This window comes from Homo sapiens, chromosome 13 (genome assembly GCF_000001405.40).
Source record: "Homo sapiens chromosome 13, GRCh38.p14 Primary Assembly".
In the NCBI taxonomy this organism is placed as follows: Eukaryota; Metazoa; Chordata; class Mammalia; order Primates; family Hominidae; genus Homo; species Homo sapiens.
This window is the reverse complement of record NC_000013.11, coordinates 108,775,041-108,791,874: the sequence shown is the minus strand read 5'-3', so window position 1 is coordinate 108,791,874 and position 16,834 is coordinate 108,775,041. Positions and strand designations below refer to the sequence as shown.

The 16,834-nt window shown below is 41.2% G+C and overlaps 1 protein-coding gene across 5 annotated transcripts in view, besides 1 other annotated feature; it reads right to left on the bottom strand.

Annotated features, from left to right (window-relative positions):
• MYO16 (myosin XVI) overlaps positions 1–16,834 on the bottom strand; it is a 712,290-nt gene that overhangs the window by 416,131 nt on the left and 279,325 nt on the right. For all 5 annotated transcript variants that reach the window (XM_011521062.2, XM_047430183.1, NM_015011.3 and 2 more), the window contains exon 5: positions 6,132–6,240. In XM_011521062.2, the coding sequence (XP_011519364.1) occupies positions 6,132–6,240 (109 nt within the window). The remainder of the gene's footprint in view (positions 1–6,131; positions 6,241–16,834) is intronic.
• Positions 4,347–4,516: an enhancer, noted in NCBI's record as "experimental_32357 CRE fragment used in MPRA reporter constructs". NCBI's record gives its function as "activates a minimal promoter by MPRAs in K562 erythroleukemia cells, with activity observed for the introgressed 13:109439792 variant allele {active_cell/tissue: K562}" and the evidence as "EXISTENCE:reporter gene assay evidence [ECO:0000049][PMID:34662402]".

Genomic DNA, 16,834 nt, shown 5'->3' with positions numbered 1-16,834 from the left:
TGCTCCTGAACATGACTGTCTGTAGTTTCCTTCCTCAGGTTGACTCTGCGAAAGTTATTTAAACTGTGTGGGCTTCAATGTGCTTAGTCCCTCAGATAATAGTTCATACTTTTAAGATGTAGCTCTATAGCAGAAACCACATCAAGCGTGTTGCATATCTGGTATCTTTTCTCCCCATGGGGCACTTCAACTCTGCCTCGTGCCACAGCTCCTTCTCCGAGCCTGGATGAGCAATAGAGAAGAGGAGCTCTGGACTCAACCTGCTTGGGTGTTAGTGCTGTGTGTATCAATGACTACTTGTGCCAATGTGGGCAAGTAACTTATCCTCTGCCTCTGTTTCTTCAACTGCAAAATGGTGTTGATAGTATTTGATTTGTCCGTTGCTTGATAGTAAGTTAAAACACATAAAACATATAATATGTATTTAGCTTTCAGTAAGCACTAAATAAAAGTGATCTGTGATTAGTCAGCTTTCTAACATGTGTTTTTCATGCCTCTCATTTAGGTGTGTCATATACTATTATTTGGTCATTTAGGAGGCATGGAGTAACCAAACAAAATAAAGCAAAATGCAGTATTTGAATAATGTATCTTGTTTCAAATATTCTGTTCAAACTAGTCCATTTTAGTAGAAACATGAAATAGAAACACCCGTGACCATTCCTCAGCTTCTGAATCATGGACATGCCATTTTAGAACTAACATTTCCCTTATAGAGTCATTTGAGGTCTGTTATGAACCAGCTAAAACTGTCACTTATTCTGACTTTTAGGATTATGAAATTTCATGTGTGATTTTATTTTGGCAAATATCATTTCTCAGATGTCAGCCTTCAATTTTGCATGCTAAAGTAGCACAAGAATCTGATAGTCACTCTTAAGTTATTTTGTTAACTTTTAGGATGTTACAACGTCTACTAAAGTTGTATGTATCTTTTATATAATTATGTATTTAAAATGGAGTGATAAAAACACAACAAGATTAAAAACAAGTAACAAATTAAAACAGAGATAAGACATCACTCACTGCAGACTCATTTTATTAAGAAAATATATCTATTTCTGGTCCCTGTTGTGAAGACATCACAGGGGAATATTATTACATTGTATCCTAATATTTGAAAACTTAATTTTGAATTAGATATGATGCCAATTAAAATGTGAATTTTAGATTTTTTTAAAATATATATTCAGGAAAGTAGCCCAAATCACTTTTGGTTAATACAACACAACAGAAACTCCCTCTCTTCGTTGTCAAACAAATTTCTTTAATGCTCCTGGATAAAACCAACCAAGATGGATATAGCCCATAAGTCTACGTTGTAACGGATAATGGGTCCATTCTCATTTATGTACAAAATATAGATTTTCGTATTGTTTTTTGAAAACAAATTAATGGAAGGTCCATTTAGATTTATTATTTTGAAAGAAATTTAGTAATTTATTTTAATATAAGAATTAAGAAACAAAATAATTTACCTGAAATCCACACATTATTACTTGTGATATTATTACTGCCTGGTTTAATCTGATAATATCAGTGGATACTTGGGCAAAACTGAAATTACGTCAACTCCCGAAGTCAATCTGAACCCTAACTTAACTTCCCTTAACCGTCCCTCTTAAGGTAATATTGTTTTTGTAAGAATTCAACTTTTCCTTTTCTCTGATGATATTAGGGCTACTCTTTGCCGCTATTGTGATGGTTTTATGACCATGCTGAGCTGCACAGCTGCGCGCTCTCCCGAGTTGTGGGAGGATCTGCGCCACCTCTCTTCCGTGGCTTTTCCAACCTTCTTGCCTTTGCTTATGCTACTCCCTATGCCTGGGTCAGACCACCACGGTTGGTTTCCCTAGGGTAACCCAGCCCCTCACCTTCAGCTTAGTGTAGGTGACACTTCTGTGATGCCTTCTGTGGTACTTGTAAGGAAAATCATATCCTTCCTCCTTGGTGTTTTTATAAGATCCGCATATGCCTTATTTTTATTCATTATCATATGCCATTGTATCATCATTTGGTCATACATAAAACATCATTTTTGCCCTCAAAAAGGAAACAAAGCTAAACAGGCATTTGCAATTCACTATAATATGACCTATCCCATGATTTTAGCATGGGATCCTCTGTGCTCATAGAACTGCCACTAACCCAAATTTTTATCTTCATAATAAGTGTTCTAAGAGATGCACAGAAGTAAAAGAGCTGAGCAGGCAAATAAAGTAGTTCCAGCAAACAGAAATAAACAGGAAGGGTGCAGCTACCCTCTACCCATTGCTTTCTCCCAACCCTAACAGCAGGCACGACTTGCGACCATCTTATGTAGTCATGCAGACTGTAACCCCAACTATGTATGATTTTGAAGAGGCTGGTGCAGGGACAGCATTTCAAATAAACTGCCTTAAACAAAAGAAAAACACATGACATTCATGAACTGATTCACCTGGGAGTCCTCTGAAAAATGAAGGGGGAGGGCTAATACTGGGGGCAAGAAGACCAGTTTTGGAAGCTACTGTAGTAATGTAAAATAGAAAGACCAGCATGTTAATTAAGGCAGTGACAGCATGATTTGTGATCTGGGTGGACATATTAGAAGGATATCAAATAAGGAGAATCTGTAAGAATTGGCAACAATCAGACATGACGATATGGGAGAAGAAAAGTGATGTTCCTGGTGATAATGGGAAAATATGAAATACACACAGTGAAAGGACAATAACACATTCCACAGAGACATGTTGTTTCAAACTATCTGACACTCAAGTCGAGATACTTAATAAAACTGCGTATGCAGGAGTGAAGGTCTGGAAAGATAATTAAGCTACAAGGATATTCTTGAGAACCAGCAAGTGGTAACAACACAAGCAAAAGGGTGAGACAACCCAGCAACAGCATGGAGGGACATGGAAGATTCTCAAAGACAAAGCCCCAGGAGGGACCAACATTTAGCAATTTGGACAGACACGGGAAGCATTCGAAGGAAACCTAAGTAGAAGCTCAAAGAGAGGAAGGAAAACTGTGGGAAGATGGCAGGAGAGAGACTGTTCCTAAGAGAGTGTCACAAAGGTCATCGAATGTCAAAGAGAGATAAGGTAATAAAAAAGGAAAGAAAGCTATCACTGGATAGAAAACTAAGGAAGGTAATAGCAATTGTTGCAAGGGCATTTCCAATGGGTTTGTAGGTTTAGAAACTGAACTTCAGTGGGCTGAACCACAGGATACTAGGAACTCAATAAAATAAATGTGAGCTATGACTGTTAGAAGAATGGGTTTGAAAGAAGAAACGACAGTGAATGGTGGTGTATGCAGAGCCAACTAAAGCTTTTGGTGTCTTTCAGGGACATGAATATTTCTGTATGTGTGTGTATAATGTATCCATTATGCTGATCTTTTGTCCTGGGTGCTCCTTGGGCTCTCCTGTCAGTGCTTTCTTTCCATGCTGGCTCACTTTCTAATCGACTGCCTTCCTTGCATGCCAGCTGGTTCTCCTTGCACTAGAGATCTAATATTCATCAAATGCTCCATCAGCTCTCCGTGGTTGTCTCATTTCACAGCCTGGCAGGCTCAGGCAGTGAGCCGAGGTTAATTGCTGTCCCCGAGTTTACAGTGTAAGTCGGTGGTGACAGCACAATTAGGACTTGTGACCAGCGAGTTTCCATGTAATCAACTTGTTCAAGACGTTGCAGCCTCTTCTGCCACGTGCATCCTGATGTGACAGGTGATAAGTACTCGGATGCGAAACTGCACAACGCAAAATGAAAATTCTAAGATTGCAACCACCTGGTTATAAAAAGGCGATGCTGAAATACCCAGAGCCAAATAATAATAAAAATCTCATCTTGAAATAGTAGGAATTTCTAAAGACATCAGCCCATGCTGTCACAATAGATAACTGTAAAAGTACACCAAGCAGAGGGCCAGAGAATAAATCGAATTAGACAGTATTTACTGGGAATGGCGGCAGATGATGGAGATAGTGGGAGGAAGACCAACATAAGCAGAAGCAGATTGTGAATGAGCTGAGGGAAGGGCAGATGGATGTGAAGGCATGGGCCAGAGCGACTGCAGTGACAAATGGCAAACAGAATTAAAAATTTAAGAGATATTAAATTGAGTTTGTTCCAGCAAACATGTATTTAACAAGCTGACTGTGACAGCCATAGTAGTGACAGATTTTCTACCAGCCATTTAAGAGTTAGTACTTTCCTCTTGTTTTGTTTTGTTTTGTTTTGTTTTTGCATACTCCTTTTTAATATCAGCCTCTCAAAGGAACACATTTATTTTTATTCTTTACATAGGATATAAAACACTGATCTTGCAATACTAAAATTTCCTATCAAACGAAATGCTGTAATGAGTTGGAGAGGTTTATAAGCAATGTGAATGCATTTGCAAATAAATGTCGTTTTATTTTCTAAAAGAAACATTTATTACTGTAGCTTTTAAAAATTCAGAACAACAGAAAAAGCAGGAAATAATAACATAGAACTGGCACAGCTAAACAAAACATGGTCAAGTACTTTTTAAAAATTTGACATCACTGGTTTTATTTTTTTAAACCATTCATTGCAGTATGACCAACATACCAAAGCTGTACATATTTATTGTATACAGCTTGATGTTTGTAAGTATACATCCCTGAAACCATCACCACATTATATGCCATAAATATATCCATCACCTTCAAATTTCCTCCCACACTCTTTATTTACTGTTATTTTTACTATTATTTGGTGATAACACTTAACATACAAACTATGATCTCAGCAAATTTCAAAGTATGCAATACAGTATCATTAACTATAGGCACCATTGCGCCAAGTTTTTCATGTCAATTCACAATTGCAGGCCACATGCGAAGTCTGGCAAGGATCCAAATAATTAACTTCCCAACTAAGAAGTCTGTATAACTTCAAGCTTCATTCCCTTTAGAAGTAATGGAATCTGCCTCCTACGAGGCACAGCTAACAAGACTTGGAGAAAGTGAGTGAGCGTTCCCACAGGTGACAGTGCCCAGGCACGACTGAGCTGCAGAGTGGTCAACTGAATGCACTGCTAACCCAACCCAGCTTGCTTCTGCCTGAGACCCCCACTTGGTGACGATGTGAGCAGCACGGCAATGCTCACATCATCCCCTGTCGTGGTAACCACACCTACCTTGCTTTCACAGAGAATAAGACTATTTTATCTGCGAACTCATTGCTGCTAAGTGCTAATTATTATTATTCTAAGCCATCCTCGGAATAAACCTTTTTCATAAAAGCAATCTGGAGGAGGCAGAGAGCACAAGGGAACAATGAGGCAGATGTGAGGTTTTCTTAGAGGCAAAAAGAGTATCTGCATAAGCTCCGTGTGGCTCTTAAAAACTGTAAACTTTTCTCTGGCCAAGGGTCATTTTGAAGGGATTGGAATTTCTTTATTGTTATTTATACCTAAACAGCAGGGGAAAAAAGGAGGGGCATAATTCTTTAGTTTAATACTATATTGTGCTCAGGGATTCTCATACCTCCCACTTTCCCAAGGCTGCACTTACTGATGAAATTATATGCTGGACCTGTATAATTAAACATCCTTTGTCGGTGAATGCATTTAGGGGCTCAGCCTCATCTTTTCAGGCTAGCATCATGGCCATAGGGCTTTCTTCTGATGACCTTTGTGTTCTAAAGTGTCACAAAGGGTCGATTTGCAGACAAGTGTCCTTGACTTAAGCCCTCACTTCCTTGCCTCTAATTCCAGCTAGGACCACCTGCTTCTAAGAGAATACACTTCAGATGACCTTGTTCTCATTAGCTCAAAATTCAATTGTGTTGGTTGACTTCCCTTCCCCTCCCAGGGGAGAACAGATTATAATTACAAACCCAGTCCCACTAATTATGGACTTTAGATGCCTGTTAAAATGTCCCTTCATTGTTGGCCTCTAGATTTCTGCTGGCTTGCAAAAAAACCAGCATTGACTAAACCACAATGCAGTGCAGTGAGAGCAATGGAAAGCTGAAGGGAAAAAATACCATCTTCTACACCACGTGCGGAAACTACATCCATCGGAAATCATGTAAGCAAACCTGTGAAAATGAATACACACTTACAATTCTCCCAATCTATTTTTTTCTATGGTTTTAAAAGTTTTTGCCTACCATTTTCATCCAGATAGGTCAACAGGATAGAGCTGGATTCTGTCCCTTCTACAGCATAATCTAATGGGATATTTCCATTCACATCCTGGAGAAGGACATTGGCTCCAGCCTAGATAAAAAGAAAAAAATATAACATCATATATACTGTTTAAATTAAAAGCAGATTAGGAGTTGTACTTCAATCTTAGTTGGGAAACAGATGCAGAAATAGTCTACGGTAGATATCACCCTGAAGAATCGGGTAGGAAGCTCGAATTATTTTTTAAGACAAATATATTAAATGACTTGTGGAGACTCTAACGTTCTGAAAACCTTCCACTGACTCTTGCAAAACTTTGGCCCCAGCTGCCTCTCCTCACCCCTTTGCTAAACCCAGCATCTCTAGTGTGTGGCTGCAAACCCATGCCTCTGTGCTGGCTGCCCTATATCCTGTCTTGTTTCTAATATAATAGAGGTGTCTGATGCCTTCAAAGATTCTGAAAGAACTCTTCAAGGAGCAAGCTGAACTTTGGCCAAAGTTCCCCAATCTGTCCTATCAAATCTTTAACCTCCTTTTTCTCCACAGAAACTCATCTGGGAGCTCTTCTCACACTACGACATTTTAATCAAGGCCTGTGTTAATGACTACAGGCTGATTTTTCTCTTTCCAGCAACTATCTTCTAACAAAAGGCATGATCTGTAAATCTCAATGGGCTGACTGTATTAAATATGGCCATTCCATGTTTTAGCTTCCAAGGTCCCTTCATCAGCCCAGCACCTCTGGGCACTCTGTTTCACCCCTTGCCCCTCTCAGCTTCAATACAATGGTAGATTTGCTTGCACTCTTCAGGAATCACTCACATGAACTGTCTCCATTGCCCCACATTCCCTAATGAGCTCCATAAAAATGTATCAGGCATGGCTAACATCACTTCTTTTAGGGCATGGCGTGAACATATGCCCATTGTCCAAGATTTCCCACACACCTCCCAGTAACATGTCATTAAACTCAGGCCAGACAAAGGAAAGTTTTCCCCGTTCCTTTTACAAAATAGTATTCTGTGTTGCAATACTAGCATAGTTCTTATATACCAATTTATAACTTTACATAAAATATGATTCACATTTAAAATTTTATGTGTTAATATTTAGAGTTTTTTCTATTATTCTTTATTTGCAAAGAGATTTTCTATACTTTAGCAAGTCTGCACAGATTTCCAAAGAACGGCTCTAAATATATTATTTTTAAAAACCCAAAACAAACAAAAAAGTAGCTTAACGTGGTAAAATATTCCGTATCTTAACATTTTCCCCCAAGATAAGTTGAGTTTCTTATCTCACTATATTGAGTGTACTATGCTATATTTTCTATAACCATGTAAAGATATTACTTTATCTGAACAAAGCAAGTCATATATTTCAGATGTTTTACTTATCTAAGGACCTTTATAATTTTAAGGTCCTCAAGATTCAAATTATCTTGTTAGTGCATTTAGTTTTATTTTAATTATTCAGAGTTTGAAAAAAAAAACCCTGACTTCAGGGATATTCTTCAGTAGACTTTGCTAATGATTCTTTTCCTTTAGTCTCCAAGCTGCAAGAATAAGATTTTGTGTTCCTGTAACGAACACGGCAGTGCTTTGGTCAAGGATAGGCAGGCCGAGGTAAACATCCAGAGTGACTCAGTGAGTTTAGAGCACAGCACAGGCATATAACTCTGCTTGTTATCACAGCCATGTAGCCATAACATGGGAAGGCCATGCCTTGGCCCTACATCACTATTGTCTGTAGAACATATGGTTGCCTGCTGACACTGTACAGGCGCTGTATTGGTTCATTTTCACACTGCTGTTAGAGACATACCCAAAACTGGGAACAAAAGGAGGTTTAATTGGACTCACAGTTTCACAAGCCTGGGGAGGCCTCAGAATCATGGCAGGAGGCGAAAGGCACTTCTTACAAGGCGTCAGTAAAATGAGGAGGAAGCAAAAGCAGAAGTTCCTGATAAACCCATCAGATCTCATGAGACTTATTCACTATCACGAGAATAGCATGGGAAAGACCGACCCCCATGATTCAATGACCTCTCCCTGGGTCTGTCCCACAACACGTGGGAATTCTGGGAGATACAATTCAAGTTGAGATTTGGGTGAGGACACAGCCAAACTACATCATTCTGCCCCTGGTCCCTACAAATCTCATGTCCTCACATTTCAAAACCAATGATGCCTTCTCAACAGTCCCCCAAAGTCTTAACTCAATTCAGCATTAACCCAAAAGTTCACAGTCCAAAGTTTCATCTGAGACAAGGCAAGTCCCTTCTGCCTATGAGCCTGTAAAATCAAAAGCAAGCTACTTACTTCTTAGATATAATGCTGGTACAGGCATTGTGTAAATACAACCATTCGAAATGGGAGAAATTGGTCAAAACAAAGGGGTTACAGGGCCCAAGCAAGTCTGAAATTTAGTAGGGCAGTCACATTTTAAAGCTCCAAAATGATCTCCTTTTACTCCAAGTCTCACATCCAGGTCATGCTGATCTAAAATGTGGGTTTCCATGGTCTTGGGCAGCTCCACCCTGTGGCTTTGCAGGGTTCAGCCTCCCTCCTGGCTGCTTTCACGAGCTAGTGTTGAGTGTCTGTGGCTTTTCCAGGCTCATGGTGCAAGCTGTCAGTGGACCTACCATTCTGGGGTCTGGAGGATGATGGCCATCTTCTCACAGCTCCACTAGGCAGTGGCCCAGTAGAGACTCTGTGTGGGGGCTCCAGCCCCACATTTCCCTTTTGCACTGCTGTAGAGGTTCTCCATGAGGGCCTCGCCCCTGCAGCAAACTTTTGCTTGGGAATCCAGGTGTTTCCATACACCTTCTGAAATCTAGGCTGAGATTCCTAAACCTCAATTCTTGACTTCTGTCTACCTGCAGGCTCAATACCACATGGAAGCTGCCAAGGCTTGGGGCTTCCACCCTCTGAAGCCATGGCCCAAGCTCTACATTGGCCCCATTCAACCATGGCTGGAGCAGCTGGGACACATGGCACCAAGTCCCCAGGCTGCAAACAGCACGGGGACCCTGTGCCTGGCCCATGAAACCACTTTTTCCTCCTGGGCCTCTGGGCCTGTGATGGGAGGGACTGCCATGAAGGTCTCTGACATGGCCTGGAGAAATTTTCCCCATTGTCTTGGGGATTAACATTAGGCTCCTTGCCACTTATGCAAATTTCTGCAGCCAGCTTGAATTTCTCCTCAAAAAATGGGTTTTTCTTTTCTACCACATCGTCAGGCTGCAAATTTTCTGAACTTTTATGCTGTTTCCCTTTTAAAAAGGAATGCTTTTAACAACACCCAAGTCACCTCTTGAATGCTTTGAAGCTTAGACATTTCTTCTGCCAGATACCCGAAATCATCTCTCTCAAGTTCAAAGTTCCACAAATTTCTAGGGCAGGGGCAAAATGCCACCAGTCTCTTTGCTAAAACGTAACAAGAGTCACCTTCACTCCAGTTCCCAATAAATTCCTCAACTCCATCTGAGGCCACCTCAGTCTGGAACTTATTGTTCATATCACTATCAGCATTTTTGTCAAAGCCATTCAACAAGTCTCTAGGAAGTTCCAAACTTTCCCACATTTTCCTGTCTTCTTCTGAGCCCTCCAAATTGCTCCAACCTCTGCCTGTTACCCAGTTCCAAAGTTGCTTCCACATTTTTGGGTATCTTTTCAGCAATGCCCCACTCTACTGGTACCAATTTACTGTATCAGTTCGTTTTTACACTGCTAATAAAGCCATACCTGAAACTGGGAACAAAAGGAGGTTTAATTGGACTTACAGTTCCACATGGCTGGGGAGGCGTCAGAATCATGGCAGGAGGTAAAAGGCTCTTCTTACATGGCAGTGGTAAGAGAAAATGAGGATGAAGCAAAAAGGGAAATCCCTGATAAACCCATCAAATCTCATGAGACTTCTTCACTATCATGAGACCAGCACAGGAAAGACCGGCCCCCAGGATTCAATTACCTCCCCCTGGGTCCCTCCCACAAGAAGTGGGAATTCTGTGTGAGATACAATTCAAATTGAGATTTGGGTGGGGACACAGGCAAACCATATCAGGCATGCTTGCTCCCAGAGAAAGACAGTAAAAGAGCCAGAGCTCTCTGTCTTTGGAGATGAACAGAGGGGAGCCAGGGCCAAGCTTGGCTCGCTAATGCCCAGAGAGAGAAAGAGTTAAGCTACTGACCCCGAAGGCAATGGAGAACCGGCCGTGCAGCTGTGCATGGGAGTTGGCTGGACCAAGCAGCTGAGACAGAGCAAACTGTAAGAGAGCTGCTGCTGAGAGAGCTGCTGAATAAAGCCATATTTCACCTACCTATGCCACCCCACCTCCCTAGTGTTCTTTCAGCTATCTGCCATTCATCTACCCACTGCCCTCAGACCTCAGCATAGGCTGGAACCTGGACTTAAACCTGACAGTTTCTGTTCAAATATCGACTGCTAAACAATCAATTAACAACAGACAGAACTGCAGGGATGCCATTACTGTTTTCAATAATTAATTGTAAAATCTACCGCACTCCACTTATCAGTGGTAGAGAATCCTTCCCAATTCATAAATGTTCCCAGTGAAATACTATATATGCGAAACACCTGGGCACAGGTGATAGTGAATACAATTAGGAGTCATGTATTCTTAATTACAACAAAACAAATAGAAAAGGAACTTGGCATTGAAAGAGATGTACACTTAGAAAGAATATTGTCTGTGCTTAAAGAAGTCATCAGGCTCTTTTAGAGAAATTCTGCACCTGAAGCGTGGGGCTGAATAATTTAGCTGGGGTCATTTACTGAAGTTTCAACTTATGAGTCACTCATTCTTCTGTGCTGCTAAGTTACCTGGTATTATTCCCAATATAGAAGCCGGCCTTATTACCTGGTATTATTCCCAATACAGAAGCCGGCCTTTCTGAGAGTTGCTAACTTTCTTGCTCACAGATCTTGTTTTCATCTCCTTTCTGTTCCCAACACCTACCATAGTGCCTGGTGCATGTGAAGTGCTAGAAAAGATTTATTGAAACGTATTCATAATAGTCAAAAACTGAACTTAAACTAATCATTAAAAATTAAGGCAAAGAATTATAATTTGTACGGCAATTCTTTTTAACTAAATTTTCTGACCTTCCTTTTCAAGGGTTTATATAGTTACAAAATCACTATACTCCTACTTACCTTACCTACCTTCAATCATTCCAGATAGATATTTGTGAGAGACTCCTTCTTTCCTTCTCTCCCTCCCTTCCTTCCTTCCTCTCTTTCTTTTTCTTCTTCCCTTTTCTTTTTCCCTCTCTTTGTTTAATTGAAGAGATGCAAAAAGCCTAATGAATGAGTCGGTCACTGGGCAGTTTTTTTTTTTTTTAAATCAGACGTCAGTAATTTTATGACTAACATACCTGAGAGCTCATGGTCTTCAATCTTCCATGATTACTAACTTTCCCAACATTTGAAAAAAATGCCTTGCTTTCATTCTTTAAACTACACAAATTCATTCTAATATATCTTCATTTTTCTTCTAAATTTTAAGCCCAGGGAGTTGTTTCTCATACTGCCTTTGTGATGGCACAAACTTTGGCTAAACAAAAAATGAAAAATAATGTTGCTACTGTTTCTTTGAGCTGCCACACATGACACTTAACCAAAAGGAAAGGACGCTTTGCTCTTCTTACCCCACCATGGTAATCCGTGGTCAATGAAGCATTTCTGCAATTTATGGCTAGGTGCTTTGCCTCTGTCAGAAAGCCTGAAACTTGAAAATGAAATAAATGATTTCAGGCTCCATGTTGTGCCCATCATCAATTAAGGATCAACTCCAGGTCGACCCATGTTTTGCTCTGTTTTCTTGATCCTGGGGCTGGGCCTCCGGAGGGTCCTCCTTTACCAGCTGGAACGGTGTTGGGTCTGTCAGTAGAGGGCCCTGGAGGGACACAGCAGGAAGAAGGGGCTTCTTGTGGTTCTTGCCAGAGAGCCCCAGGTCTCCTTGTCACTGGCGTGTGGGAGACCCAGGGGCGCACGTCCCTGGGCGAGTTTCCCTAGCAGCCCAATGGCAAGTTTCTCTTGTATCCTAGCAAATGGCCCACCCATTTATATTAGCCTCCCAGCGAGAAGCTTCCTAGCATATTTTGCTGGTACCTGTTCCCTGCTTGCAGCCTAGGCCTGAGCCACCTCCCTGAAGCTTCTGGCCACCCTGTGGTCACAGCTGCACCCTCTCCAATGAGGTCTGACTCTCAGCCTTGGGGGAGGGGTCACTTCCAAGAAGGCTCCTCCCCAAAGTTGTCTCCTTCAGCCCCAGAAGCAGTATCTGCTCCCTGAATCTGCTATTCCTGCATTCTTCAGTTATCTTGATCACATTAAATAGTTTTGTTTGTTTTTTTACTAGTTAGTAGTTATTTATCATCAATCTTTCTTTTTCAAATGATTGGTGGTAATTCTGGATCCTGGCTGGATGCTAACAAGACACCTTTCAAGAATGGGGTGGTCCCAGGCCCTCAATGATAGGATTTGGTGAGGGGTGTCGTTAGCCTAGTGTGAGTACACTGCTGAGGCGCATGCCAGTGGGAAACAGGATCTTAGGAAACCCCCGCTTGGATTACTAAAATAATCAAGGTAATCAAGCTGTTACCTGTGGTTGACTGTCCTGAAGGGTAAACTGAAGCAAGTGTCTTGGGAGTTATTTCTGCCATAGTGGCCAAGACTCTGGCACTCGGCCATTATGGCAGAAATAATGATGACAAGGACTGTGGTGTGTCATGGCATCCCCCCACGAGTGCAGTGGAAGTCTTACAAACAAACAAACAAACAAACAACAGATAAGCCAAGGCCAAGTCCTTTAACCATAAGCTCAAGTCATAATAGGAGAACCAGAGAGGTTCTATGCCAGCCTTGGAAGAATTTTTCATATTGAGAGTTCATATTGCTGACTGTTCAATACAAAATTTAATGTAATTGTGTAGGTTGCTGAAGTACCATGTCCAGTGAATTCACTGTCTTATCAAATTATTTTCTGAAAGTTCTTGTTAATTGCGATGGACTAGTGTCCTGAGACCTGAAATGGCAATATCTGGTTAGACTCCAGTGAAACAGAAAAAAAATATATATTTTTTTAGATGGAGTCTCGCCCTGTCACTCAGGCTGGAGTGCAGTGGCGCGATCTTGGCTGATTGCAACCTTCGCCTCCCGGGTTCAAGCGATTCTCCTGCCTCAGCCTCCCAGGTAGCTGGGACTATAGGTGTGTACCACTACGCCCAGCTAATTTTTGTATTTTTAGTAGAGACGGGGTTTCGCCATGTTGGCCAGGCTGGTCTTGAACTCCTGACCTCAAGTGATCCACTTGCCTTGGCCTCCCAAAGTGTTGGGATCACAGGCATGAGCCACTGCACCCAACTGTGAAACAGACAATCTTGAGCCCTGAAGTCACCCTGAGTCTTCCTCGCCAGGGGAAGCAGCTTGACCTCCTGTGACTGAGGAGATGTCCCATTGTTCACTGAAAAACTGTGATGACTTCACCGGGAAAAAATGCCTTGAAAGAGGATACTTATTTTCTTCTAGTCCCACCGTAACTACCCCCTGTTTCTGCTAGATTCATGCCTAGAGTGAAATCCCAGTATCGTCTGGGGAAAGTAAATATTAGGACTCTGCAGGAGGCCGCTGACTCATCAAGAGAACTGAAAGATTTTACATTTATATGACATATATCTTTCTCTAGGAGCCAGAATTTCCACCAATAATTTTAACAAGAGAGACTGGATATGAATAATTAACGAGTAAAAAGGAAATAACTACTGAATGTAATCTGGAGAACTCTGAAGAATATGGGAATAGCAGATGCAGGGTGCAGATATTACTTCTGTGGCTGAAGGAGACATTCCCCAGGTATGAAGGTATGTATGCAAAAATGTTAACATACCTACATACCTGGGGAACACAGGTAAACGTGGATTCTTACAACATTAGACAAACAAGGGCAGAATATTAATTCACTGACATTGGACCACTTAGAAGAGATTTCAGATTTACAGTGGTGGCTCTGGCAGTTGAGGGAGGAGAGGCACTGCAGGAGGAACAGGCTCCTCTCACTGGCCCAGGATGTTCCTTCTTGTTCTTGCCCACTGTGGTGGGTACCCAGTGGTGCACACCCTCCAGCCAGGTTTGCTGCCACTTAGCCAATAGCTTCCTGATTGCCAGAACCAGCCTCCGTGAATTTCCCCACCATGCAGAGGCCACTGCCACATCCTCTCTAAAAGGGTCTACATTTCAATCCCTGAGGGTCCTCTTCCAGATACTCTCCCCGATGTGGGGAACAGTGGCTGCTTCCTATATCTGTTGTTCTGTTAGTTTTCAGCATTATCTTTACCCCCCGCCTTTGTAATTAATCTACCTTTATTAGATAATATTAATATTAAATGCATCCTATTCAAACTACCTTCTTTGGTGGACTTTTTGTCTTCTACTGGACGCTGGCTAGTACCTATGTCGTGCCTTTCTATTAGAAAGTGAGTATTGCACAGTAATACAGAGTTAATGGTTTGAGATTCAATCCCGGTGCCCCTCCTCATGAACTTTACGGCCTAGGGCAAATTCTTAAGGGTTTTATGCCCCAGTTTCCTCGGAGGTAAAAGCAGGCTATACTAATTATAAGCACCACTTGGAAAGGTGGCATGCAGGAGACTCATGGCACTTTGCATGTATGCTTCTAGGTACACACAGCCTATCTTAGCTATTGCATTTAACAAATGTGTTAAGCCACAGACACAGACTCTGTGTCTGTGATGCTCTCAAGGCATACACCCACTGTTCTCCACCCAGAGGCAGCATAGCTGAGCGTTTAAGGACACAAATCCAGTTCAAATCTCTGCTCAAAACTTAACAGTCACGTGACCTTGGAGAAACTGCTTGCCCTCTCTGTCTTTAATTCTCCCAGAGTTGTTGTGAAGATAAAACGGGTTAATGCTGGTAAAGTATAAAAAATCTTGATAATATATTACTGGTGCAAGGATAGCTCTGTATCAGGCTTTAGATAATAGGCTATAGTGCAACCTGCAAAATGGCCAGTGTGTCTTTTTAAAAATATCCAGTTTTCCTGATATTAAAACTCAGGAGGGCATTGTAGGTGCCTATTTGAAGCAGTTTTATTGGAGTGCTACAGATAAGGATACACGCATGTACAGACAGACACCCATTGGCATAATACTCCATTAAGGAATATAGGAAATAATCGAAATGCTTACTGTGCCTATGGCAAAGCTTGAGCCGCCATCCGCCATTCATTAGGTAGCTAACTATACCAAGGAGGTGTGAACTGAGGTCAAAAGGTCTAGAGCTTGTGGAATGGTGTTAACAGTGGGCCTCTGGAATCTTCTAGACTAGGCCAGTGGTGTCTCTCTGTATCCACCTCTCTATGTAATCTATGCCTTAGTTTCCCATGCTTTTTTCTGGATGCCCCTGACTTCCCAATTCATGCTATGTGCAGAGTCCTCTGTCTCGCCTCCATGAATAAAAACAGATTCTTCCCATGCCCTGTTGTGAAAAAGGTAAGTGTCCTTAGGAAAGCTGGCCATGATATTTCCCACAATTGTGTAAAATATTTGCATTTGGAGATAACACCTTGATACAAAGGGGATTCTTTGAAGCTGGGAATGTAGATTCCTTGGCAGGCTAGAGTAAAATATTTTACCAAGTGAAGCTTTTGCTGTTTCTCAGGTTATAACAATTCATGGAAGTTGTATAGGCAAAACCCGCCCCTTTGAGACTCAGGGATTTCAAACCCATTTTTGCACTGGACGAAGGCATGATAGAGGACAAAGCTAAGGTGACGTGCTTCGAATACTCCAAAGAGCCCCAGAAAACTTGATTAATGTCTCACCCTCGCACATGTGCAAACACCATAATTCTTCCCGTTGAATGAATTAATTGCATTTCAGGTTCCTTACTTGTACTGCACATTGAGATTACTGTGTGCACCGCTCAGAAGACCCACAGCTGATTTTTGGCATCACTCTAGCTAACTTAGAAGTAAATGCGCAATTTTAGCTGGTAATGGGTCCCACTGGAACTAAGGAGCTGATGAGTTGCAAAGCAAGACTTCATCCAAATGTCAGAAAACCTCAGAAAATCTAGTTTTCAGCATATCAAAGGTGATATGACCCACGAGGTTAGGAATCAGTAGCATTTATAAGGTATTATGTTAGCTTTTATTTAAAAAAAACCAAAACTCCATTTTGAACCACTCAGGCATAGCAAATCTATCTACTAAATTTTGTGAAATGAAAACAATCAGATTCAATAATTTCTTTTGACATTGCCCATTTATAATGAGAATTAAAAAATCTATGTGTTCTACAATATAATTTTTCTCTTCCAAAATACAAACTTGATATTTTAAAATATCTTTTAAAAATGTTCTTTTTACATTTCAAATTTCATTCCTCTGAAGAAAGACTCCAGTATATAATTTTTCAGCTGTGAATAAAAAAACTGAGAGAAAAATGATTCTGAATCACTGTCCATATTGATTCCTTGAGTAAATGGATCAATATTTTCTGTACAGAATGAAGAGCCACACTAAACATTCACGCTGATGTTAATTTCATGTATTGGTGTGTGTATTTGACCATACACATGGTTGTTTTATTTCAGAGGATGAGAAGCAGGGGGAGTTGAGGGTTTCAGAGAAGATTTTCAA